The sequence below is a fragment of the Homo sapiens genome, chromosome 1 (genome assembly GCF_000001405.40).
Source record: "Homo sapiens chromosome 1, GRCh38.p14 Primary Assembly".
NCBI classification, from domain to species: domain Eukaryota; kingdom Metazoa; phylum Chordata; class Mammalia; order Primates; family Hominidae; genus Homo; species Homo sapiens.
The window spans coordinates 238822298-238849345 of NC_000001.11; the positions used below are offsets into that span (position 1 = coordinate 238822298).

Below are 27048 nucleotides of genomic sequence, written 5' to 3' on the forward strand. Positions count from 1 at the left end.
AAAAAGGGAGCAACAAATCTGAACGCCTCATCAAAGATATACAGATGATAAATAGGCATATGAAAAGATCCTCAACATTGTCATTAAGGAGTTGCACATTTAAAAAACAATGAGATACAACTGTATGCCTGTTAGAATGGCAAAATTCCAAAACACTGGCAACACTAAATGCTGATGAGGATGTGGAGCATCAGGAACTCTCATGCAAAATGGAACAGCTACTTTGGAAGACAGCTTAGTTGTTTCTCACAAAACTAACCATACTCTTACCATTAGATTCAGCAATCCAAAAGACTCAAAAACGTATTCATACAAAAATCAGCACAAGAATTTTTAGAGCAGTTTTATTTATAATTGCCACCAAGATGACCCTCAGTAGATGAATGAATGAATAAACAGTGGTGCATCCAGGCTATGGAATATTATTCAGCACTAAAAGGAAATGAGCTATCAAGCCATGAAAACACATGGAAGAAACTTAAATGCATATTACTAAGTAAAAGAAGCTAATCTGAAAAGGCCATGCACTGTGTTTCTAACTATATTACATTCTGGAAAAGGCAAAACTAGATATACAGTAAAAGGATCAATGGTCTCCAGGGGTTGAGGGAAGGGGAAGGATGAACAGAAGGAATACTGAGGATTTGTAAAGCAGTGAAACTATTTTCTATGATACAATAATGGTGCATGTATGTCATTATACATTTGTCTAAAGCTATAGAACACACAATCCCAAGAGCAAGCCTTAATGTAAACCATTACGTGATTACGACTTTTAGTGATAATGGTGTGTCAATGTAGGTTTATGGGTTGTAACAAATGTATCACTCTAGTGGGGGATGTTGGTAGTGGGGTAAGGCTGTACATGTTTGCACGTAGGGAGCATAGAGGAAATCTTTGTACTTTCTCCACAATTTGGCTGTGATTCTAAAACTGTTCTTAAAATAAAGTCTATTTAAAAATAAAGAAAGAAAATGTGTTAAACCCAGAGCTGACACATATGGCTTCTGAGATATGTAGCAAGAAAAAAAGGGTGTGACCCATCCACTCCACATCTTTTCAACACCCTGAGTTATTTTTTCTGCCTCCACATTGCCTACTCTCCCATCTCAAGCCTTCTTAGGCCAAAGTGTTTCCAAAGATATTCTAAGAGCAATGAAAACCAGCCCAGCTGTCCCACAGAAATGGTGTTTACAGTCTTTTAAATAAACATAGAAATCAACCCTCCCTGGTCTTAAAACTTGAAACTTACATTTATCTTACCTGAGTTCCTTCATCAGGAAACCCCCCTCAGGCAAGAAACTGAAACTTACCAGATCACTGCATCCACATGAGAAGCCAGACACCACATCCCTCACAATTGCTTCCTTACTCCTTCCTAATTCTGGGTTTTCACAAGTAGCTACATTCCTTCCCCTCTATATAAACCTTCAATTTATATATTTCAGTTGGCTGAAAGAGATGGATTAGAAACTGATCTCATGTCTCTCCATTTGACATCACCCAAATAAAAAGCTTTCTTTCCTGGCAATACTCCTTGCCCCAGTGATTGGCTTTCAGTGTGGTGAGCAATGGCAACTATAACAAACCCTTGGTGTTTCCATAACACAATCAGTGATCTGCAATTTCCTCTTCTTGAAGAAGGGTATGTAAAGATGAGACTTATCAAATTTTAACTCTATGTGTAATTTCTCATGAAATTATAGGTAATGTAGTTAACGTAATGCTAGACTCTGTTATACTTTGGACTGAACATAATTTTGAGATGTTATTTTGGAATTTAATGAAAAAAATAATATCCCTCTGACTGATCATATTACATGTTAGAAGTTCTTAGTGATATAATTTGTGTATTATCTATCTTTGACCTTATTTAAGGAGCAACATAATAAGCGGTTAGGAATTATTTTTTAAAATGGAGTTTCAATTATCTCACTTATAAAAATGGAATTCAATTTTTTCATGAGATCTAAATAAAAAATAAAACAATGCATGCAAAAGCAACAAACACAAAACTAATTAATGTTCAGTAGTATGTCTCTGTTTTATTTTGAAGAACTATTTCAATACATAGTTTCAAACCTAAGTATTTATGTTTTAAACAAGATTGCATCACTCTTGAAGAGTTCTCATTCATGTAGTTTTTTGAGTTCTTATTCACATTATTTTATTCACATTATTATTCAACCAACATCTTTTCTTACCCTTCTTCTTCTCCCTTCACCTCATTCCCCTACTTAATAAAAAATTGCTACAGTAGTTCAGCTTTCTTCATGTTATTCACATAATTTGAGTATCCCTGCAAATGCATTTTCAGTTCATATCACATGCTAATGATCAAGGCCAAAAATCATTCAGCTCTATTGAATATATTTCATATGTTTAGCCTTCTAGAGCTACTTTCTATTAATTATTTAAAAACACACAGACTCCAGAAATGTTAATTACTTACTAGTTAATTTAAGAAATAAATTTGGTAATAATTACTATTTAGTTAATTAATTAGTAAGATTGTAGTTTATAGATCTCAGCTCACTGCAACGTTCACAGTGAGCTGGTTACAGTATATATATAATATAATACATAATAATTACTTATTAGTTAATTAAGAAATAAGTCATAACAATGAAGGTGAGTTTGAAAAAGTGTACACAAATTTTGTTTATCCTAGTCAAGACATGTTTCCTATATTTTATGGATGTATTCAAAATCATATTACATATCAATTTTACACACTAGTTTTTTTATAAAATTACAGTCAACACAAAAACAAATCCTTGAAAAATTGAAAATGTATAGTTTTCATTTTAATAATCATATAACATGTCCTGATTTTTAATTAGCAACTCTTCAGACCATTAGCATACATCAGTCTCAATCTCAATCTCAATCTCATATGAAAGAACTTCCTTTTGGTTTGCTACTAGAGTTGCAAGCTAAATTGCACATTCAAAATACCTATAAACTGGCTGGATGCGGTGACTCATATCTATGATCCCAGCATTATGGGAGGCCAAGGCAGGTGGATCCCCGGAGGTGGGAAGTTCAAGACCAGCCTGGCCAACATGGTGAAACCCCATCTTTACTAAAAATACAAAAATTAGCCAGGCATGGTGGCACATGCTTATAATCCCAGCTAGTCAGGAGGCTTGTCATCCCAGTTACTTGGGAACACAATTTCTTGAAACTAGAGGCGAGGGTTGCAGTGAGCTGAGACCTATAAACTACAGTATCTATCAAATTGCAAATTTTAAAAATTTCAATAAAACTACACAGCTGCAGATCATTACAAATGAAGACTCCTGACATTATTTATTTTAGCCTTAATAAAATGCATTAGAATTCAGTAAAAAGAACAGCCTATAATTCTTCAAAAGATAAAAGAGCATTGTGATTGCTTTTAGTCAGTCTCTAGAGTAGCATTGTCCAGTACAGTAACCATGAGCCACATGTGGCTATTGAACACTTGAAATGTGTCTAGTTCAAAATGAGATACACTCCAAGAATAAAATAAGCACTGAATTACAAGCACTTAGTACCAAAAAAAGTCAAATGGATATTTATTTTCCACTTATCACATGTTGAAATATTTTGAATATACTGTGTTCAATAAAATTATATTATTAAAATTAATATTTTATTTTATTTTTCATGTATTTATTAGAAAATTTACAAGTACATATGTGGCTGGCATTGTATTTCATTTGGGTAGCTGCTCTAGGAGATCACCTACATCTTTATTAGTACTACAGTAATGGCACATCTGATGGCATAATAAAATTTGATACATTCATTTATTCAAACAAACTTTTTTAGCTGATATGACATCATTTGACTAATAATTTTTCGAAGAATTGATTTTTTCCTGAGTTCTGGCATCGAGAAGACAAATCAAAAAGCACCCCTGTGAATCTGTCAGAATTTTAATTCAAGAACGGTGTTCATGAGTGTCATATGGAATAATAATTTTTAGAATTTTCAGCCTTTGCTACACCAATAAATAACAATCATTAAATGTAAAAGACTAAGACATTTATCAAAATTAGTACAGCTGGTAATTTCCATTTCATTAAAATTTATATGTGTTTTCATTTGTAAATTTTCTTAAACAGTCTGAGATTCATGAAAGCCTTCAAAGTTTGTAGATAGATATCATGAACTCAGTGATATTTTATGCAGCATTTCGTCGATTTGCTTTTTTCTTTTCTGGAGATAGCAATCAATGACTTCATCAGTTTCCTAAAGGACTCAGTGATACAAAAAGTTTAATTTTCTACTTTAAAACCATTTTAAGTTCCTTCCAGTTCTGTGGCTTCTTTCTGGTTGAGGTGAATGCTATGCCTAAATTTCTTCAATTTAGTCTATGCTAATAATTTTTTTGAGGATTTGACTTTAAGAAATTAACTGACAATATTGAGAAACAGTAAATCCTCATGTGGTTGGGTGAGGGATTGCTGTTTAAATCTGAAAATTGCAGCAATTTAATAGTTTAAATTATAATTGACACATTCTGAATATCTGCTACATGCAGTGGAAGACTTACTGCCTTCGTTAAGAGAAGCTGTTATGTTTAAGTTGTCAAAATTTAGTTAAATTAATTTCTTCTGAAGGCAATCATCAAATTTTACCCAAAAGAAACTTTATGGAATTCTCATGCATCATTAACTTCATATGAATATAAGCTAATATGAAGCAAAACATCCCTCAGGCTCTATGAAAATATATAACAACTCTCTAGCCTTCCACTGCAGGATTTGGCATCTGAAACTGTGCTTTTCCTATCACAGGAGCCAGATTTTCTTTACAGAGTGCTGATTTCATAAATATTTTTCTAACTTAGTGTACCAAACACACAGCCCTTAAACAAGAAAAGGCCCACAGTCTTGGAAAAACAGAACTACTTTATATGGATATTTGAAAATAAAAACTCATGGCTTTAGTTCCTCCTGTGTTTATGCTAGCATAATAAAATAGTCAATGCTCAGCCCCATCATCTGAAAAATGTCAACCCCAAATATATATTTATTGCTTATCTGAGATTATGAATACTTCCACAATGTAACAGTAACCTAAGTATGGTAGGGTTGGCAAGCAGCACCCAGCAATACAGTAGGTGGGATATCCAGGGAGATGACTGCATCTCATAGCACACCACCCTGAGTGGACTGGAGTCCTAAAGAACCATGGCTACAAGGTGCACTTTAGATCATGGATGTCCAATCTTTTGGCTTCCCTGGGCCACATTGGAAGAAATAATTACCTTAGCCCACAGGTAAAATACACTAACACTAATGATAGCTGATGAGCTATAATGTTTTAAGAAAGTTTACAAATTTGTGTTGGGCTGCATTCAAAGGAAACTTGCCTTGCACGTGGCCCATGGACCCTGGGTTGGACAAGCTTGCTTTAGATGATGTATTATGTGTGAATAAGGGAAGTAGAGTGGAGAAACCAGAGTTTGGGCTAGGGAATGGGATGAACACCCAAGAGACTCAGGATGATAAACATGTACAAAACGTTACAGAGGTTTTTGATATTTTGACAATCTCTATGTAGAGCCATAAACCATAAATGGACACCATCTCAGTGGCTCAGTGACATCAAAAGCATTTTGATAATGATGTCAAGATGTTACATGTCTTTATCTCTTTCATTCTCTTATGAGTATAGAGAGTGAAGTTTCCAGAGGGTATGTGAAGCAAGACATCAAATTCAGTAGCAAATATAAGACTTCATTGGGAGGCCAAGGTGGGAAGATCTCTGAAAGCCAGGAGTTCAAGGTCAGCCTGGGTAACATAGTGAGACTTTGTCTTGACAAAAAAATTTAAAAATTAGCTGGGCATAGCAGTGCATGCCTGACATTCCACTACTTTGGAGGCTGAAGTAGAAGGATAGTTTGAGCCCAGGAGTTTGAGGCAGCAGTCAGTTATGACTACGTCACTGCCCTCCAGCTTATCTCTTAAAAAAGAGAAGAATCTAATCAACCATTAAATATTTGAAAAAAATGTAAAATAGTGTCATTCTTCTCAATATTTTTTGTTTTCCTAAATAGAGTTATATTAAACAGAAATGTTTTTAAGTTAATGAGTAATATGTTTATTATTGTTATTTTAAGTGAAAAATAAATGATTCTCTTTTAAATTTCTAATATGGTGAATATTGATAGATATAACCCACATAAATAAAAGGTCTTTGGGTTGTTCAATAACTTTAAAGGCATAAAGGGATTCTGAGTCAAAAATAATTGAAAGTCATAAGTCCATGTTAATAGATTAAAATGGGGAAACAACATACTATCAAAAGATGCTGAACAGCCTTCTTATAAAATCAACATTTCTGTCAAAGAAACAGGAGTAATATTTAGCAATGAATATCACAGATTCATTCAAATTACAATCAGGTATACAAAGAAAGGTTTCTACCTGACTGATCAATGGGCAAATTTACACTTTTAAATCAGTAATATTTTGGTCTTTTCCAGTTCAACTATCCTTTTTCTGTTTAAATTGTCAACATATGTAGTATTCAAGGTTCAGATTCCTATTTGTTGCTGAATTTAAAAGTTTTTTGGGCTAGGCTTGGTGACTCACACCTGTAATCCCAGCAATTTGGGAGGCCTACGTGGCAGATCAGCTGAGGTTAGGAGTTAGAGACAAGCCTAGGCAACATGGCAAAACCCTGTCTCTACTAAAAATACAAAAAGTAGCTGGGCATAGTGGCAAGTGCCTGTAGTCCCAGCTACTCGGGAGGCTGAGGCACGAGAATTGCTTGAACCCAGGAGGCAAAGGTTGCAGTGAGTTTAGATGGTGCCACTGCACTCCAGCCTGGGGAGCAGAGTGGGACTCTGTCTCTAAATAAATAAATAAATAAATAAATATATAGTCTTTTTGGTGATTCTGTTACCTGAGTTAAATGCTTTCAAAATGCCACTTCTCCAAAGAGCACCTGGTGTATGAGGATGTTCACTCTATCATTGTGGAAGCAGAGAAGATTTCTGATTGGATTCCCTTAGTATCTTACAAATTCTCACCCTTTGCTCCAGATTCCATTTGGCCATTTTCTGGGCTGGGGACTCTCAAGTGCGACTGATTCCACTGGGAATTTTGAGATTTATGTTAGCATACGGCATGTGAGTGCATGCCCTGGCCACTGTCATACTATTTCTGCATCCTCTTCTCTCTGACTAGGCCTCTGGGCACCCAAAGGTCATCTCAGAAAGTGCATATTTTCTCACTGGTGTAAGCAGAAACGCCTATATCCATTCACACTGTAGGTAGGCCATGTGCACCTAGGTGCTGGGCTTTAGAATCTGACGAAGCCTCATCTCATCTCACTCTATTTCTGTACCATAATCAATGTTGTACTGGGTCAAAGACTTGAGAACCAGTGCACTGGATCCAATATCTCCAACACTTCTTTAGATGTTTTTAAAGCAATGCTTCATTATCAATGATCCATTTCGAAGAGTAGTTAGAGGAAATGGAAACTCGCCATATTAATCATTGTTTTCTGCTGTCATCTCCCTTCTAAACTCACCATTGCTTAGCTATAGAGGGACAAAGCTCACGCCCCATTCAGTTTTACTGTGACACTTCTCCACTCCCTCCTCTTCCTTTTATATTCCATTTCCCTTGATAAGCTCTCATACTAATAAGAGAAGAAAAACTGAGGTGGAAACTAAAAAGAACAATGAAATTAAAAAGAGAAAAAGAAGTATGAAAAACAAATTTTCCTTTATTTTATGATATGAGTTTATAGATTCCTGTTTTCTGCAACCAGTAACTTCAAGTATTCCATTTTTTGTGAGCAGCACAGCAAAGGTCATGAGACACCTGAGCAGGCCTGGATTGCAGCCATCCAAGCACCTTAGTGAAGGTTATAAGTCCGTGCAAGGCACTAGAGCAGGCCTAGATAACAGCCATCTGGGCCGCATAGCAAGAGTCCTATGTAATCCTGAGTTATGAACCTGTCACAGTTTAATTAACTGCCTTTGTTCTGCCTTTGTATCCTGGCTTTCACATCACTAAGCTTCATGCCACTGTAAGCTTGTTTCAAGCTAGCCCACCCCCTTTTAGAAGTGTGTGTAAAAGTCAAGTGCTGTCTTTGTTCTGGATCCAGTCTTTGGATGTTAATATGCTGCGTCTGTGTGCACTCAATAAAAATCCTCCTGTTCCACCTATTGGTCTCCCCAGTCTCATGAGTCCCACAACAAAATCAGAACTCATTTTAAGAACTAGATATACCTATACTATTATTATATAATATGAGAAAAGATATCTTCAAATTCTATAGCAAACATTATAATAAATAGTAAAACATTACAAACATTTACAGTAAAATCAAGAACAAAACATGGATTCTCAAAATCCCCTACTATTCAATATTTTCCTGCAGTTTCTACACAACACTTTAGGACATAGAAATGAACAACATATAAACATCACAATGGAAGAGCGAATTTTTGTGTCCATTCATCAGCCAATGGACACTTAGGCTGTCTCCATGTCTTGGCTATTATGAATAACATTCCTGTGATCATGGGGGTGCAGATACCCCTTTGAGGCACTGCTTTCATTTCCTTTGAGTATATACCCAAGAAAGGCATTTCCAGATCATAAAATAATTATAGAATTATATTTTAATATTTTGAGGTACCTCCTTATTGTTTTTCATAATGGCTGTACGAATTTACATTTCTTCCAACAGGGCACAAGGGTTCCCCTTTCTCTACATTCTCGCCAACCCTTGTTATCTGATGACTTCCTGATAATAGCCATTCTATTGGTTTGAGGTGATCCACTTGCATGTGGAATCTACAAAAAAAAAGTTCAACACATAGAAACAGAGAGTAGAATGGTGGGTACCAGGGACAAGAAAGGGAAGGAAACGGGGAGAAGTAAGTCAAAGAGTACAAACTTGTAGTTAAATTGGATAAAGAAGTCTAGCAATCTAATGTACAACAGTGCTAAGGTTTGGCTCTGGGTCCCCACTCAAATTGTGGCTTTGTGTCCCCTCCCAAATCCCATGTTGAGTTGTAATTCCCAGTGTTGGGGGAGGGACCTGGTGGGAGATGATTGGATATTGAGGGCAGATTTCCCCCTTGCTGTTCTCACGATACTGAGTGAGTTCTCATCACATCTGCCTGTTTAAAACTGTGTAGTACTTCCTCCTTTGCTCTGTCTCTCTCTTGCTCTGGCCACGTGAAGACCACTACTGCTTCCCCTCCACCTTCAGCCATGACTGTAAGTTTCCTGAGGTCTCACAGCCACATGGAACTGTGAGTCAATTAAGTCTCTTTTCTTCATAAATTACCCAGTCTCAGGTAGTTTTTTTATACCAGTGTGAGAATAGACTAATACAAAAAATTGTACTGGGAGTGGGGCATTGCTATAAAGACACCTGAAAATGTGAAAGCAACTTTGGAAGTTGGTAATGGGCAGGAGTTGGAACAGTTTGGAGGGATCAGAAGAAGATAGGAAGATGAGGGAAAGTTTGAGACTTCCTAGAGACTTCTTGGATGGTTGTGACAACAATGCTGATAGCGATATGGACATTGAAGTCCAGGCTGAGGTGGTCTCAGATGGAGATGAAGAACTTATTGGGAGCTTGAATAAATGTCACTCTTGCGATTTGGTAGCAAAGAGACTGGGACATTGTGCCCCTGCTCTGGCGATCTGTGGAATTGTGTATTTGAGAACTGATTTAGGGTATCTGGTGTAAGAAATTGCTAAACAGCAAGGTATTTAAGATGTAGTCTGGCTGCTTTTAAAAGCCTATACTCAATTTGCACAAACAAATCAATTGCATAAACAAAGAGATTATCTGAAACAGGAACTTATATTTAAAAGACAGGCAGAACATAAAAGTTTGAGAAATTTGCAGCCCAATCATGTGGTAGAAAAGAAAAACCCATTTTCTGAGGAGGAATTCCAGGCTGCAGAAATTTGCATGAGTAAAGAAGAACTGAATGTTAATACCCAAGACAATGGGGAAAATGCCTCCAGGGCATTTTAGAGACCTTCACAGCAGCCCCTCCCATCACAGACCCAAAGGCCTAGGAGGGAAAAATGTTTTTGTGAGCCAGGCCCAGGGCTGCTGTTTGTTTGGCGCAGCCTCAGTACATGGTGCCCTGCATCCCAGCTGCTCTAGCTTCAGCCATGGCTAAAATGGGCCAAGGTATAGCTCTGGCTGTTGCTTCAGAGGGTGCAAGCCCCAATCCTCGGCAGCTTCCACGTGGTGTTGGACCTGCCAGTGCACAGAAGGCAAGACTTGAGGTTTAGAAACCTCTGCCTCAATTTCAGAGAATGTAGAGAAATGCCTGAATGTCCAGGCAGAAGTCAGCTGCAGGGGCAGAGCCCTTATGGAGAACCTCTACTAGGGCAGTGCGGAGGGGAAATGTGGGGTTGGAGCCCCCACACAGAGTCCCCAATGGGTTACTGCCTAGTGGAGCTGTGAGAAGAGGGCCACCATCTTCTAGATGCCAGCATGGTAGATCCACCAACAGCTTGTGTTGTGTGCCTGGAAAAGACACAGGCACTCAATGCCAGCCCCTGAAAGCAGCTGTGGTGGTGGGGCTTTACCCTGCAGGGCCACAGGGGCAGAGTTGTTTCCAAGGCCTAGGGAGCCCACCTCTTGCATCAGGGTGGCTTGGTTGTGAAACATGGAATCAAAGGAAATTACTTTGGAACTTTAAGATTTAATTATTGCCCTGCTGAGTTTCAGACTTGCATGGGGTCTGTAAGCCCTTTTGTTTTCTCCAATTTCTCCCTTGTGGAATGGGAGAATTACCCAAATGCCTGTAACCCCATTGTGTCTAGGATGTAACTGATATGTTTTTGATTTTATAGGCTCATAGGCAGAAGGGACTTGCCTTGTCTCAGATGAGACTTTGGACTTGGACTTTTGAGTTAACATTGGAATGAATTAAGACTTTGGGGAGCTGTTGGGAAGGCATGACTGTGTTTTGAAATGTGAAAAGGACATAAAATTTGGGAGAGGCTGGGGGCAGAGTGATATGGTTTGGCTCTGTGCCCCCACTCAAATCTCATGTCTAATTGTAATTCCCAATATTGAGTGAGGAACATGGTGGGAGATGATTGGATCATGACAGTGGATCTTCCTCTTGCTATACTCGTGATAGTCATTGAGTTCTCATGAGATCCGGTTGTTTAAAAGTGTGTAGCCACTGGGCATGGAGGCTCACGCCTGTAATCCCAGCACTTTGGGAGGCTGAGACAGGCAGATCACAAGTTCAGGAGATCGAGACCATCCTGGCCAACATGGTAAAACTCTGTCTCTACTAAAATACAAAAAATTAGCCAGGTGTGCTGGCACGTGCCTGTAGTCCCAGTTACTCAGGAAGCTGTGGCAGGGGAATCGCTTGAACCTGGGAGGCAGAGGTTACAGTGAGCCAAGATTGCACCACTACACTCCAGCCTGGCGACAGAGCAAGACTCAGCCTCAAAAACAAAACAAAACAAAACCGTTGCTTTTCCCTCCTTTGCTCTCTCTCTCTCTCTCTCTCCTGCTCTGGTCATGTGAAGACTGTGTCTGCTTACCTTTCACTTTCTGCCATGATCATAACTTTCCTGAGGCCTCCCAGCCATGTGGAACTGAGAGTAAATTAAACCCCTTTTCTTCATAAATTACCCAATCTCAGGTAGTTCTTTACAGCAATGTGAGAATGGACCAATGCAAACAGTAAGACTATAGTTAATAATATTGTATTGTATGTTCAAAGTTTGCAAAGAGAGCAGATTTTAAGTGCTGTTACCACACATAAAAAATGCTAACTATGGAAGATAATGGATATGCTAAATTGCTGACCTGTAGTAATAATTTCACTATAGATATGAATATCAATACCTCATGTGTATACTTTAAATTTTAAAAACAATGGAATAGACATAAACATCTTTATTGAATAATTATCTTCATGCTAATGTATTACTTCAGGTTTGAATGAACCAAGAGAATGATCTGATATTTTGGTAGATTTGTAAGAATTTTCAGTAAGGTGGTCTGCTATAACATAAATATACAAAATCAATTGCTTCAGATGGCTTTACAAAGCAAGTCAATTAAAATAAAGCTCTCAATAGCAATTAAACATCAGTGATACAAATAAGAACTTTTCTGTTCCCCTTTTTATGTCTCCCTTCACTCTCATTTCTCAGAAACTGTAGTTAAGCAACTATAGAGAAAAAAAATAATAAAAAAAAAGTAATGAAAGAAGATGCCAGAAGCAGAAGCGAAGGCCTTCTCTGATCAAATAATCCCTTTCTGCAGTAGTGTGAGCTGAGGAGAGTAGATATATTTAAAATCACTTTCAAAGCTTTCATTATTATAATGAAGCCATACTCAACTTTTGAAATGAGATGAAGTTTTCATGTATAATGTGAGAACATGACATGGGATTGGAAAAATCCTGAAACCACCCGAGTTTTCATTCAGGGCAGTGAAGAAAATTTCTACTGAGTATATTTTAAAGCAACACGGAGGAAAAAAAGTTGTTTTGTGATCTAATTTATGAGTGATGCTAGTATCACCTAATGGTTGTATTAATTTATGAAATTAGAACTCTCTCAATGTCTGATTTTATAAAGTCATAAAATAATTTATACAGTACATATTATATATAAGTAGGAGTCATCCCTGTAATCCCAGCACTTTGGGAGGCCGAGGCGGGCGGATCATGAGGTCAGGAGATCGAGACCATCCTGGCTAACACAGTGAAATCCCATCTCTACTAAAAATACAAAACATTAGTCGAGTGTGGTGGTGGGCGCCTGTAGTCCCAACTACTCGGGAGACTGAGGCAGGAGAATGGTGTGAACCCGGGAGGCAGAGCTTGCAGTGAGCTGAGATCACGCCACTGCACTCCAGCCTGGGTGACAGAGTGAGACTCCATCTCAAAATAAATAAATAAATAAATAAATAAATAAGTAGGAGTCATCAAATTATGGATATTTACTCTTTTGCATGTTAGAAAAATTTATGTGATTTTTAAATAGTGTAGAACTCATATCAAAATATACATATGTGTAGTGTATTAACTAGACAGAGTTCCAAACACTTTTAGAATATACTACAGGTTATTTCAAAAGATGAAAAATTAGTTGTAGCAAAAAGCCATAAACTTTCATATATTTAAATACTTTACACTATTCTTTATACTACCTGGAAAATCTTGTCTCCTAACACTGAGCCAAGTTACCACAGACCCTGTCAAGGTCTCTTCCCAATCCCCGTAATAGAATTCATTGCTCCTTCTTTTTGAGCTCTTCTTGCTTCTTTTAAATAATGTCTGCACTTTGGAATAGCACAGTGGATTCAGTTGTTTGTCTTGTTAGATTAAGCTCCTTGAGAACAGGACTGATTTTATCTTTATTTTTGTATTCTTAGTGCTCCATTTATGCTCGATACCTTTTAGCAGAATGATGTATAATAATTCTGTTGAAAAAATTAATATATAAATCAGAGTTCTTACAGTGATGAAAATATTTTATTACTATTGTGTATGTTAAGTTTGTGCAAATTTACTGAGTTACTTTTTGCTATTTTTTGCATTGTTTAGCATTGCTTGTTTTATTAAATGGACATTGTATTCATGGCCTTTGTTTAAAAATCATCAATGATTGCTTTGGCTTCTACCTTCAAAGAGTTAAATCTGTATAAACTAGTCAAACCATTATAAAATGAATGTTAAAATCATGAACCATTTGAGTGACTTATGGCTATTACATATATTATAAATATAATGTAACTATACTTTCTGAGACTGAATAATAAAAAATTTTAAATGATTGCTGATCGTGGTATGAAAAATGAGAACAGACTTACTTTGAAAAAGTAAAACAACCATAAATCTGTTTAATGGTTGATAATATAGCCAATATTTTAAATGATAGTGGTTTAATATATGCAAACTGAATTTGATTTTATAAAAAAAATATAAATCACTAGAAAAGAAATTCATATTTCAAAGGGAGAGTAAAGCACATTCCAGTCATGTGCAGATAACGATGCTTCGGCCAACAATGGACTCTGCCTATGTAACAATGGGCCAATAAGATCACAAAGGCAGCTACAAATTTCCCATCACCTAGTGCCATCATAGCCATCCTAGTGTCATAGCACAACGCATTACTCACGTGTTTGTGGTGGTGCTGGTGTAAACAAACCCACTGTGCTCCCAGCCCTTCTCATTTACTCACCACTCACCCACCAACTCACACAGAGCAACTTTCAGTCCTGCAAACTCTATTCACGGTAAGTGCCCTTACAGATGCACCATTTTAAAATCTTTTCTACCACATTTTTACCCTACCTTTTCTATGTTTAGATACACAAATACTTAACTTTGTATTATAATTGTCTTCAGTATCCAGTACATTAACATGCTGTACAGTTTTATAGCCTAGGAGCAATAGGCTGTATACCATATAGCCTAGGTGGGCTATAACATCTAGGTTTGTGTAAGTACACTCTGATGTTCACACAAAGATGTAATTGCCTACGGATATATTTGTCAGAATGTAAGTATCTCAACTGTTAATTTATGCATGATCATAATCATGATATAGCCACCTAGGCTATATGGTACACAGTCTATTGCTCCTAGGCTATAAACCTGTACAGCGTGTTACAAGGCAGAAGAAAACTAATATATATATATATATAAAATTGTGTATATATATATATAATTGTGTATATATATACAAAATTGTGTATATATATATATAATTGTGTATATATATACAAAATTGTGTATATATATATATACACACACAATATGTATATATGTATATACACTGTAAAATATACAAGGCAGAAGAAAACCAAAAAACGTGATCTAAAGGGCACTGTAAGAGTCCTTTAACTTCGTAGTACATCATGTAATGATCTATATACTGTCTGTATGGTAATCACCCATATTGCCACCACTTAGCTTTATGTAAAAACTATCAATGGTGTATTTACTCTATTTTTGCCTTTGTAAATATATATAGCTCCTCTTCTTGGAAAATGAAATTGGCAAGGCATATATGCTGTATTATATCTACAATCTCACTTCTTATTTCCTTCCTTTCATCCTTCTTTCTTCCTATTATGAAGTGAATTGTGTCCCCCCAAATTGCTACTTTGAAGCCGTAATCTCCAAAGTGACTGTATTTGTAGGTAGGGCCTTCAGGAAGGCAGTTAAGGATAAACGAGGTCATAAGAGTGAGCCCCCTAATCTGATAGGATTGGTGTTTTTATAAGAAGAGGAAGAGACACCAGAGAAAAAAGAACCCTCACCAGAAACCAACCCCAAGGGCACTGTGATCTGGGATTTCTGGCCTCCAACACTGTGAGAAAATAAATTTCTGTCATTTAAACCACCCAATCTGGTATCTTCTTATGACAAACTAATTATCTTCTTTAATTCCTTCCTTCCTACCTTCCTTCCTTCCTTCTTTGTATCCACCCAGTTGTTTCTTTTTTTTTTTTTTAACCTCTCTCTGTTTCTAAATGGAATCTTTTCTCTCCTCTGTGGTTAATAATTCACAACTGCAATGCACATCTCAAGCCCAGAGTTGGGTCTTGATTGATGTAAGTCAATCATAATGTTTCTGTTCCCCTTACCAATCATTGGTTTAACCTATATCATGTGATACAATTTTGCCAAATGAGACTAACAGAAACTTCTGAGGGGCTTCTAGCAAATGTGCCTCTGCTCTCATTGATTGAGAGGGAGCCCCTTTTAAAACTCAGAATATTGTATGGTCTAGATATTACTATATTTGACACAGATGGACCAGTCTCAGACAATCCTATACAAGATAGAAAAACAGAAAGATTTTGCAATCTGGGTCCCTGAAGCCTTTATTGAATCATAATATCTTATTTCTAACTGCAATAGTAAATTACTATAGACTATGTGGTTTCATCAGAAATCATTTATTTCTCAGAATTCTGGAGGCTGGGAAGTCCAAGACTGAGGCATCAGCAGATCAAGCCTCAGGTGCGAGTACTCCTCCTGGTTTTCAGGCAACTTTCTTCTCCTTATAGCCTGACATGGCAGAGAGAGAGAGAGAGTGAGAGAGAGAGAGCTCCCCTGTCTTTTCCAATAAGACCAGTAATCCTATCATGAGGGCTTCACTCCCAGGACCTAATTACCCCTCAAAGGCTTCATCTTACACTGGGGATTACAGTTTCAACTTATTAATCTGGTGGGAGAAGGGCATAAAAATTCAGTCTATAGCAATGCATTCAACATGCTCTGAAAGTTCTCTAGACCTGAACTTCTTACCAAGACGTTAATTTTCCTTGTTCAGACAAATTCGAGTTTGACTTTTTAGCATAGAACTGAAAGCATCCTACGGGATACAAAATAATTCTATGGTAACATCATAGATGATAACAAAATGTAAGTTGATGCAATAATTCTCTGAGTTTATTGTGTTTTGTTGTATTCTTCTTCACTAAGACTCCCTTGAAATACACAGTGCATTAAGAATGCTTTTTCTTAGTATTTTTTGCATTTTCTTGGTAAAATTAACAATTTACATTTCTAATATTTTCTTAAAGGTGAGATATAGTATATATTTCATACCTAAAATGTACACAGAACAGAATTTGTACAACTCAGTTATTGAAAAAGCAGACAATTATGTAAATACAACTTGAATCAAATAAAAAAAAATTGCCAGAACCCCAGAAGCCTCTTCCATAGCCCAATCACAACCCTGACTTCTAAAAGCATGGGTTATCTTTGCCTGTTTTGTAACATGTAAGAAAGAGGATCATAAAGGATATTTTATTTTTGTTAGACTATTTTCTTTATAAATATGTTTTTGAGATCCATGCATGTTTTGCAATTAACTGCTGATTATTCATTTTTATTACTGTATAGAATTCTCATATGAATATATCCCAATTTATTTATCAATTTCAACACGGATAGAAATTTATCAAAAGATATTTAAGATGTGAAAATGCAAGCCACAGGTCAGTGGAGGTATTTACAATATGGCTATTCCTCGGTATCTAAGTAAGATTGGTTCCAGTACCCCATATAGATGCCAAAATCCACTGATGCTTGAGTCCCTTAAATAAAATGGTGTAGTATTTGCAAATAAGCGATGAACATGCTCCCATATACTTTAAATCATCTTTGGGTTACTTATAATACTTATTGCAATGTAAAGGCTATGTAAATAGTTGTTATAGTACATTGTTTTTTATTTGTAACAAAGGATATTCAAATCTCCAATAAAAACAGGTAAGATTATCTTTCCTTTTAGTAATCATAAAAATTCACATTAAAGCATAATTAAATTCTACTATATATCCCACAGAATAGAAAAACAAAACAAAACAAAAAAATGAACAAAACCAACAAACAACAAGCAAATGACAATATCAAATATTAGCAAAAAAGTAGAGCAATAGAAACTCTCAGTTTCTGCAGATGGGATTGGGAATTACTAAAATATTTTGGAAAACGTTTTCCTTAATATTTAAACTTGAGCATATACATTCCCTATGACCTGAAAATTTTACTCACTAGTGTATTCCCACCCAGAAGAGTTGACCATTTGTTCCAAGGAACGTGTACATGAATGTTTACAGTAGATAATCCGATTAGTCAAAAAAAAGGGGAAGTATTTTTTAAATCATCTGAATATATGCTTTAAAATTATTCAATTCTTTCTTCCTTATTGATGCAATTGAATCAATTGCATAATAATTTATAAAAGACAAAGAGCACTAAAGGAAGGAGGAAGAAAGGAAATAAGAGTTAAATGTTCAACCTAGTCAGCTGAGCCAGAAATACTCATAGGACATCTATACACTCAAAATTTATGGACACTAAGCCCAGGTGTATCAATTATGGAAGTCATTACTATGCGTTGTGAGTCAACTCTCCCATTCTCCACGACCATTTTTTATACCTAATACTCTCAAGTCTAATGTGTAGATATGGAAGTGTACTGCTCACATCTTGCTTCAGGAAAGACCCACCATAAGGAATGCAGTTGGATTAGTGACTCTAGCTGTGACAACTTTGAATTCCTCATAGCATTCACAAACAGGCTATATTCTCCTTCCTGGGTCATTCTCACGTGTTGATTGAACATGGTAGAGGAAATAGAACTCTATTTCTGAAGGACCCCTCAAATGCACACTATGCCCTGTGACTCCCCTTCATCCTGGTTGAGATTGCCTCAGAGCTGCACTTCAGTATAAGCTTCCATCTACTCAGTCTTCTTTCCTTTTTTAGCAAAAATCTTCTTTACTGATTGGCAGACCTGCATTGGGTCTAAAGCTCTCCCTGCTAACTCCTGTTCTTTCTGCCCTTTGTCCCTCACAGAATCTTCCCTAAATAAATCATTTACACATCCAATTCCATCTTGGTGCCTGCTTCCGAGAGAACTGGAACCAGCATGCCTAGTAACCTATAGCCTCTCCAAAAGCCCTCAGGAATGGTATCTCACAGTCCTATGTTACAGAGTCAATAATCTGTAGAAATTCCTCAACTTTTCCCCAAGAGATTCTAAAAACAAACCTACACTGTATCAATTAATATTTTTCCAGATTGTCAAAAAGAGTTGTTCAGCTTTAGATTAAAGGTGACTGCAAATTATTTGCCACATTTTCCAATGAAAGGTGGGATCCAATTTTCCTGCCTTTGAAATTGAGCTGAAACTTCTGGGGCCAGATCACATAAAACATTGCAGATTTCAAGCACATCTATTAAAACACTCTGTGGGAGGCCTGAGCTACAGTTTAAGAAGTTAGAGTACTCCAAGATCTGGGGAGAAGTTCCATGCTTGTCCTCCCAGTCCATAGTCTCAACAGAGCCCAGTCTTAGAGCCATTTTTCACCAAGGCACAAGACATATAAATGAAGTAATCCCCCACCTACCATTACAATTTCAGTCAATGACACATCTCACTCAGCTGATTTCTACCTCAATTCCTGACCCTCAAATGTTAAGCAGTAATAAGATAGAACAAAATGTTATTGTGGTTAAGTTGCTGAGTTTCATAATAATTTGTTCTACAGCAATAGATAATCTGAGCACCCTGCTCTTGTCTATGGGTCATACATTAACCCACGGGCTCTGTTACTATCCTTATTGTTTTAGGAGGATATAGTGTTAATGTTTCCTTTTTCTCTAATTATCCAATTTTATACTGTTTGGCACCATTTTAACATGCTTAATTCTTAAAAACACAGACCCTGTGGATCAGGCTTGTTGGACTAAAAAACAGACACCACAATTTTAGTGGTTTAGTCACATAGAAGTTAACATTTTGCTGATGTGAGCTCCCTGGGAGGGTGTTGAGATTGTCAGGGGCGCTTCACTACATGAGCATTCAGAGACTCATGCTGATTTCATCTGTGTCTTTTCCATCCCCTGGGACCTCATTATAGTCTGCATCTATCAGACAGAAAAGGAAAGAGTACAGAAAGGGGGCATAAGAAATTTTATATACTAGGCACAAAAGTGGAACATCTCAAATCATCTTATAGTCCGCTGGCTAAAACAGAGTCAAATGGCCACTGTAACTGTAAGGGAGCCTAAAGTATAGCTTACTTGCACAGCCAAGAATAGGAGAAAAGGATTCTATATCTACCACCAGATCAGACTAGTTATTTTGTTGAAATACTCCAAATAACTGTAGAACATGGGCATTTCAGAACTCTCACATAGCAAATTAGTAAACAATTTTATGAATCCCCACTATTGGATAACTCCATGGAGGAGTGTTCTTATGTTTTCTTCTTCATTCCCGACCCCCCTCCCCGTTCTCCTTCATCCTCTAGGTATCTCTGAAATGTCTTTTTTCTTTTTTTCTTTCTTTTTTTTTGAGACAGAGTCTCGCTCTGACACCCAGGCTGGAGTGCAGTGGTGTGATCTCGGCTCACTGCAAGCTCCACCTCCCAGGTTCACGCCATTCTCCTGCCTCAGCCTCCTGAGTAGCTGGGACTACAGGCACCCACCACCACGCCCGGCTAATTTTTTTTTTTTTTTTTTTTTTGTATTTTTAGTAGAGACAGGGTTTCACCATGTTAGCCAGAATGGTCTCGATCTCCTGACCCTGTGATCCTTCCGCCTCGGCCTCCCAAAGTGCTGGGATTACAGGCGTGAGCCACTGTGACCGGCCGGATATTTCTTATAGTACCTAGATCATTGTACATAGTCAATATACATTTAATAAAACCAATATTTAATTAATTAGGATTACTTTTCAAAAATAATAGTAGAATTTCTTAGCTTCTTTGCATTGAGTTAGAACACGCTCCTTTAGCTCAGCAGAGTTTGTTAGTACCAACCTTCTGAAGCCTACTTCTGTCAATTTATAGTTAGCTCCTTTTGTTGAATTAATCCCTTTACCATTATGTAATGGCCTTGTCTTTTTTGACCCTTGTTGGTTTAAAGTGTGTTTTGTCAGAGACTAGGATTGCAACCCCTGCTTTTTTTTTTTTTTTTTTTTTTTGCTTTCCATTTGCTTGGTAAATTTTCCTCCATCTCATTATTTTGAGCCTCTTTGTGTCCTTGCATGTGAGATGGGTCTCCTGAATACAGCACATCGATGGGTCTTGAATCTTTATACAATTTGCCAGTCTGTGTCTTTTAACTGGGGCATTTAGTCCATTCACATTTAAGATTATTATTGTTATGTGTGAATTTGATCCTGTCATCATGATACTATCCATTTATTTTGCACAAATTCTGGGTTGAGAATTCTTTTCTGTAAGAATGTTGAATATTGGCCCCCACTCTCTTTTTGCTTGTAGGTTTTCTGCTGAGAGGTCTGCTGTTAGTCTGATGGGCTTCCCTTTGTAGGTATCCTGGTCTTTCTCTCTGGCTGCATTTAACATTTATTTCTTCATTTTGACCTTGGAAAATCTGACAATTATGTGTCTTGGGGTTGATCTTCTCATGGACTATCTTACTGGTGTTCTCTGTATTTCCTGAATTTGAATGTTGGCCTGTCTTGCTAAGTTGCGGAATTTTTCCTGGATAATATCTTGAAGTGTGTTTTCCAGCTTGGTTCCATTCTCTCTGTCTTTTTCAGGTACTCCAATCAATCATAGGTTCAGTCTTTTTACATAGTCCCATATTTTTCAGATGTTTTGTTCATTCCTTTTCATTCTTTTTTTCTGTAATCTTATCAGCATGCCTTTTTTTCAGCAAGAGGATCTTCAAAATCTGACATCCTTTCTTCTGCTTGGTTGATTCACCTATTGATACTTGTGTATGCTTAACGAAGTTCACGTGCTATGTTTTTCAGCTCCGTTCGGTCATTTATGTTCCTCTCCAGCCTGGTTATTCTAGTTAGCCGCGCCTGTAACCTTTTATCAGGATTCTTAGCTTCTTTGCATTGGGTTAGAACATGCTCCTTTAGCTCAGCAGAGTTTGTTATTACCAACTTTCTGAAGCCTACTTCTGCCAATTCATCCATCTCATCCTCTGTCCAGTGCTGCATCCTTGCCGGAGAGGCATTGCAATCATTTGGAAGAGTAGAGGCACTCTGGCTTTTTGGGTTTTCAGCATTTTTTTGTTGATTCTTTCTCATCTTCATGAATTTCTCTAGCATCGATCTTTGAGACTGCTGACCCTTGGATGGGGTTTTTGTGGGGACTTTTTTCGTTGATGCTGTTGTTGCTTTCTGTTTATTTTTCTTTCAATGCTCAGGACCCTCTGTTGTAGGGCTGCTGTGGTTTGCTGGGGGGTTCACTTCAGGCCCTATTCATCTGGTTTGCTCCAGCACCTGGAGAGATCACTCCAGGAGTCTGGAGAACAGCAAAGATGGGTGCCTGCTTCTTCCTCTGGGTTCTCTGACCTCAAGAGGCACCGACCTGATGCCAGTAGAAATGCTCCTGTATGGAGTGTCTGAAAACCCCTGTTGGAGGGTCTCACCCAGTTGGGTGGCACAGGGAGCAGGACCCATTTAATAAAGTACTTTGACTGTCCCTTGGTGGAGGGGGTGTGCTTCACTGGGGGGAAACCCCCTTGTCTGGGCTGCCTGGATTTCTCAGAATCAGCAGGAGGAAACACTTACCCTGCTGGTCTGCTGAGACTGCAACCACTCCTCCCCCAGGGGCTCAGGCCCAGGGAGATCAAAGTTCTGTCTCTGAGCCCCTGGCTGGAGTTGTTGAAGTTCCTGCAAGGCCCCACCCAGTGAGGACAGATGGGTTAAGGTCAGGCCTGAAGAGGCACTCTGTCCACAGTCTGCCTCAGCTGGTGTGTTGGGCTGTGGGGGATACCTCTGGGACCAGGCCATCCAGCTTCCTACTCCAGCAGAGGAAAAGTGTGGCCTGGAGCTATAGAGATGGCTGCTGCCCTTCCACTACCCTGGGAGCTTAGTGTGTTAGGAGACTGTCAGTCCCAGTGTTGGCTGTTTTCCCTCCCTCAAGGAGATCAAATGGCTTAGACAGCAGGTAGCCGCAGCTGTGGTGCTGGTCGGGGCAGGCTCAAGCAGATTCTAGCTTAGTGGCTGTTGAGAATTGGCGTGGCTCTGTGGTTGGGACTCTCAGTCCCCGTGTCGTGGGTTCATGAGTGGGATCTTTCAATCTGCAGGTTGCACAGTTCTGTGGAAAAAGCACGTTTTCCCAGGCTGGGTCGCACACTCGCTCAATGCCTCCCTTGGCTTGGGGGTGGAGGCTCCCCTGTGCCATGTGGCTCTCAGGTGGTCTGCCATACCACACTGCTCTTCCTTCCACTCCGTGGGGCATGCCAGCTGCCTAGTCAGTTGTGATGACAGAACCCGGATGCCCTGTTTGCCAGTGCAGGATTCGCACACGTTATGGTTCTTTTCCATGGAGCCTCTGATCACGCTGCTTCTAGTTGGCCATCTTGGCCCCACCCCCGGTATTCTCATATTAGAAGAGCGCTTAATATAGTTCGTAGCACAAGGAGAAAATCATGTTAATCTTCACAGATACTACAAAAGCACTTGTTAAAATTTAACAATAAATCTTGATTTAAAAATGTCTTCAATAAAATAAGAATAAGATTTTTTTTATATATGACAAAACTGGCCCATCTATATCTCAGTGTGTATGCATATGTTTGCTCCAAAACCTGGCATCATGCTTAGCGGGAAAAAGACTAGAAATAGTCCTTCTAAAGTTCTGTTAAACTCAGGAACAAAACCAATGTGCCCTCTAATGTGTTATAAAAGATACTAGCCAATTATATTACAGTGTAATTATACAAGAGAAAGGAATAATCAATATCAAAATACGAATAGTGAAGACAAAAAAATCTTCTATTTACAGATGATAATATTGGGGGTTTTCTCGTTTGTTTTTTAGAGGGGTTCTTGCTATGTTGCCCAGGGTGGTCTCAAACTCCTTAGCTCAAATGATCCTCCTGCCTCAGCTTTCCCAGCAGCTGGGTGCACCTACCCTGCACGGCTCAGAGGAGTATATTTTTTAAATGAAAAAATATAAAATGATCAACTCAACAACTTCTATAAAACAAGAGGATTCAGTAAGTACACTGATGGAAAAATCAGTGTGCAGAAATTGATATCTTTCATATATACAAATAACAACCAGTGAGAAGATGTAATGGGAAAGATTTAAAATCACTTTAAATAACATCAACAAGAAATTCCTAGGGATAAAATTTAAGGATCTGATATCAAACTGCTACAGAAAAAAATACTACAGCACCCTTAAAGGACACAGAATAAGACTTGAACAAATGGAAAGGCATCTTTTGTTTGAATAGGTAGATTCAAAATAATAAAGTTAATTCTTAAATTACTTTATAATTTAATGTGGTCTCCATAATACTTTGAGACCTTTTATTCTGGAATTACACAAAGTTATTATTCTAAAATACAGAAGAATATCTAGGAGAACTCAATATTAAAGCATATTCTAAAAGCCATGTAAATTAAAACAATGATGTACTGGTAAATGAATACACAACCTTCTAATTTTGCAAAGTAGAAAGTTCTTAAATAGATCTACATGTATTTGTGAATTTAGAATGTAAAGACATCATCTTACATTTGCAAGATAAAGATAAGCTTTTTAGTAAATGCCATGGTAAACAAATAAATATAAATGGCTCATAAATACATATGAACCTCAGTCATAATAAGAGAAATGCAAATTAATGCTAAATCAAAATATTTCTCACCTTCCAAAATTGATAAAACATCAAAAGTGTGACAACAACACACTTTGTTGGTGAGACTTTAACAATGATCAAAATTCCAAAGAAAAATATCTCCCTTTGACAAAATGCTTTTATGTTTCTGAGTATCTATACCCATATCTATATCGGTACACTTATAAAATGTCCCCACTTATAAAATGTCCACAATTGTTCATTTAACTCTTTTCTTTTGCAGTAACAAAAAACTGCAAGTAATTCTAGCTTTCCTCTATAGGAGATTGATTAAATAAACTGTGAAATGCCCGCAAAATATAGTACTGTATAATTACTTAAAATAAATACTTCGGAGGGTCTCTAAGTGCTGATATGAATCATTTTAAGTGAAAAGCAAGATGCTGGCCTGTGGAATTATCAAAATTCACATCTACATCTATATGTATTGATATATGTATACAGGAAACCTTTATATGTGCAATAAAAAATAAGACTACAAACTCATATATACTTTTATTTCTAGACAATAATATACAAGAAATTTCTCTAAGAGGAGAGAAAGGAGAGAGATCATGGCAGATGGGACAGAGGTAGGAACAAGATTTTACACTCTATATATTTTGTATAATTTTGATCTATGTACATATAATCAGCTCATATGCGAACCTACATCTGGCTCTTCTTTTAGACAGTTGTTTATTATGTATGTTTGTATGTCTCAATTTTTCTAGCAAACTAGGGGGGCTAGTTTGGTGAGTGGTAGAATTTCAAATGACTGTTGAGAAAGGGACATTATTGTAGTCTTGCTAAAAAGGTGACTTTGAAGTAATAAAACATTTCCTCTTTTGCTATCTTTTAAAATCTTTGTTCACCAAACATCTTTAAATTCTTTAACAAATTGATTTCATATTCAGAGATTAGGTCATTATAAAACAAAATACAAACCAAAAAAACCCTCACATAATGATAAGAAAAACAAAATTTAATATTATGACTTCTTTGGTGAATTATTAGTTTAAAGAGTATATTAAATATATCTGGCAGTAAAAAGCATGCAACTTTGCCAACTATAAAATATTATATATCAACAATGTTCAATATTTCAACTTCATATGAAGTTGAGCATTTTGTATATTTTGTTATCTTGTCTAAATAAAACAATATACAGTATATATAACCTATTAAGGTGGTATTTGTAGTTCCTTATCCAAAAATGTACATCTCTGAGTAATGTATTCTGAGATACAAAATACATCAAACACATTTTGATTGCTCATTGCTGACATTTTACCTTAACAAACAACAGGAAGAAGGAGGATTCTTTTAAACACTCTTCACATGAATGTATGTTTCATTTTAAAATAGAATTGAACATATTTTTATCTGTATTGTTTTGAACTGTTTGAGAATATGTATGAATAGTAGACCTAGAGTTCATATTACATCTGAGTTTTGAACAAAGCTAGGTGCCAGAATGTTCAATTTGATATTCTTTAGCTGGGAAGCCCCTTATACCTGATTTTCTCATTTTTTTCTAGACCTCATACAGATTTGTTGAATTGCAACATTATGGGAGGTGCAAGTCACATTTTTGGAAGAACAAGTCACATTATGTTGGAATATATTTCTACAAGTTATTAGGTATTATTTTTATTTAAGAGTTCTAAAACATAAACTATTTTTTCAAATCATTTTCCTTAGTGTATTAATTTATTATCTTAGTAAATATGTATTAAGAACTTTGTATGGTGCAGAATTCCATATTATACCTTTAGTTAGTTTACAATGTCTTTGAAGTGAATAAAATTTGAATCAGTGACATGATGTACTCAGTAATTTTGAATATGCAGGTGTTATTATTTTTATTTGATATACAAACTAAAGTGAAATTCTGACCAAACTTAAGCCATGGTAACTAAGCATGTATTATATTATAGAAGATGATGTGAAGTGTTCTGGGAGTACAAAGAATAGATTAATCAATGAGACTATAAGTACTTAATAGGAACCTTTTAATATAAGTAAAATGAACCGAGCTTTAAGGGGCAAAAAACTTCATACTCTTCAAGGAGTCTCCGTATTTTCTTTCAATGGCTCCTGCCTGCCATTTCTCCAGCTATTCATCTAGATACCTTTTCTCATGTCCCCTTACTTAAGAAATAACCCAACCAGATGGATCTGAAAATCATTATTTAGCTTAAACAGAACACTTAGTAAGATTTTCTATATTTTATTGTATAACATTATGTAGCAAAGGTATCTTGGATATTCAATTTAAATCACAATGTATACATTGTGATTAAGTATTCAATAGTCTCTATAAGTTTTAAATGCCATGTAATTCTAGCTGACTATTACCCCTCTAAGCCCTAATCCTTCTTGGGCTCATTTCTATATTTATTTATATTCATTTGTTATCAACTAATTATGCATGCATTCCCCAGCTTTCCTAAGGTATACCCTGCAGCTTTTATGTCTTCCACTATGAATTGTCCTTGAAACAGCCAAACACACCACACTTCTTTTATATTTTGGTTGAGATTCTAGCTATCCATCAAAACCTGTTTCCATTTCTTCTACACGCAAACCTGAACGATGTTTCTCCGTCTCCTTTGCAGTTAGATGCAGCTACATCGGTGATTTCTAATCAATACTTTGTGAACAAAACTGCATTGTGCCACTCTCAGGTCTATTTCTAAATCTGTCCAGTATGTGCGTCTCCATTTCTATCTTTCTTCAGGTGGACTGAGTTGGAAAAAACTCATAAGTGACCAAGAGCATACACGTTGAAGATCCAGAGTTCCAGTAAATCTGGGACTATCCTGATCTTTTACATAGTAAAGAAAAATGCTTCTATATATTGAATGATTTTTAATGGACCGACATGTTTAGGTCTATACAAGAACTAATATACACATAAT

General features: G+C 36.9%; 1 long non-coding RNA gene across 1 annotated transcript; it reads left to right on the plus strand.

Annotated features, from left to right (window-relative positions):
* The first annotated feature begins 14158 nt into the window (after positions 1-14158).
* Positions 14159-25762, plus strand: LOC105373222 (uncharacterized). The gene is made up of 3 exons (XR_949312.2): positions 14159-14271; positions 24651-24717; positions 25666-25762. It is a non-coding gene; the product is annotated as an uncharacterized LOC105373222 (long non-coding RNA).
* Positions 25763-27048: the final 1286 nt, after the last annotated feature.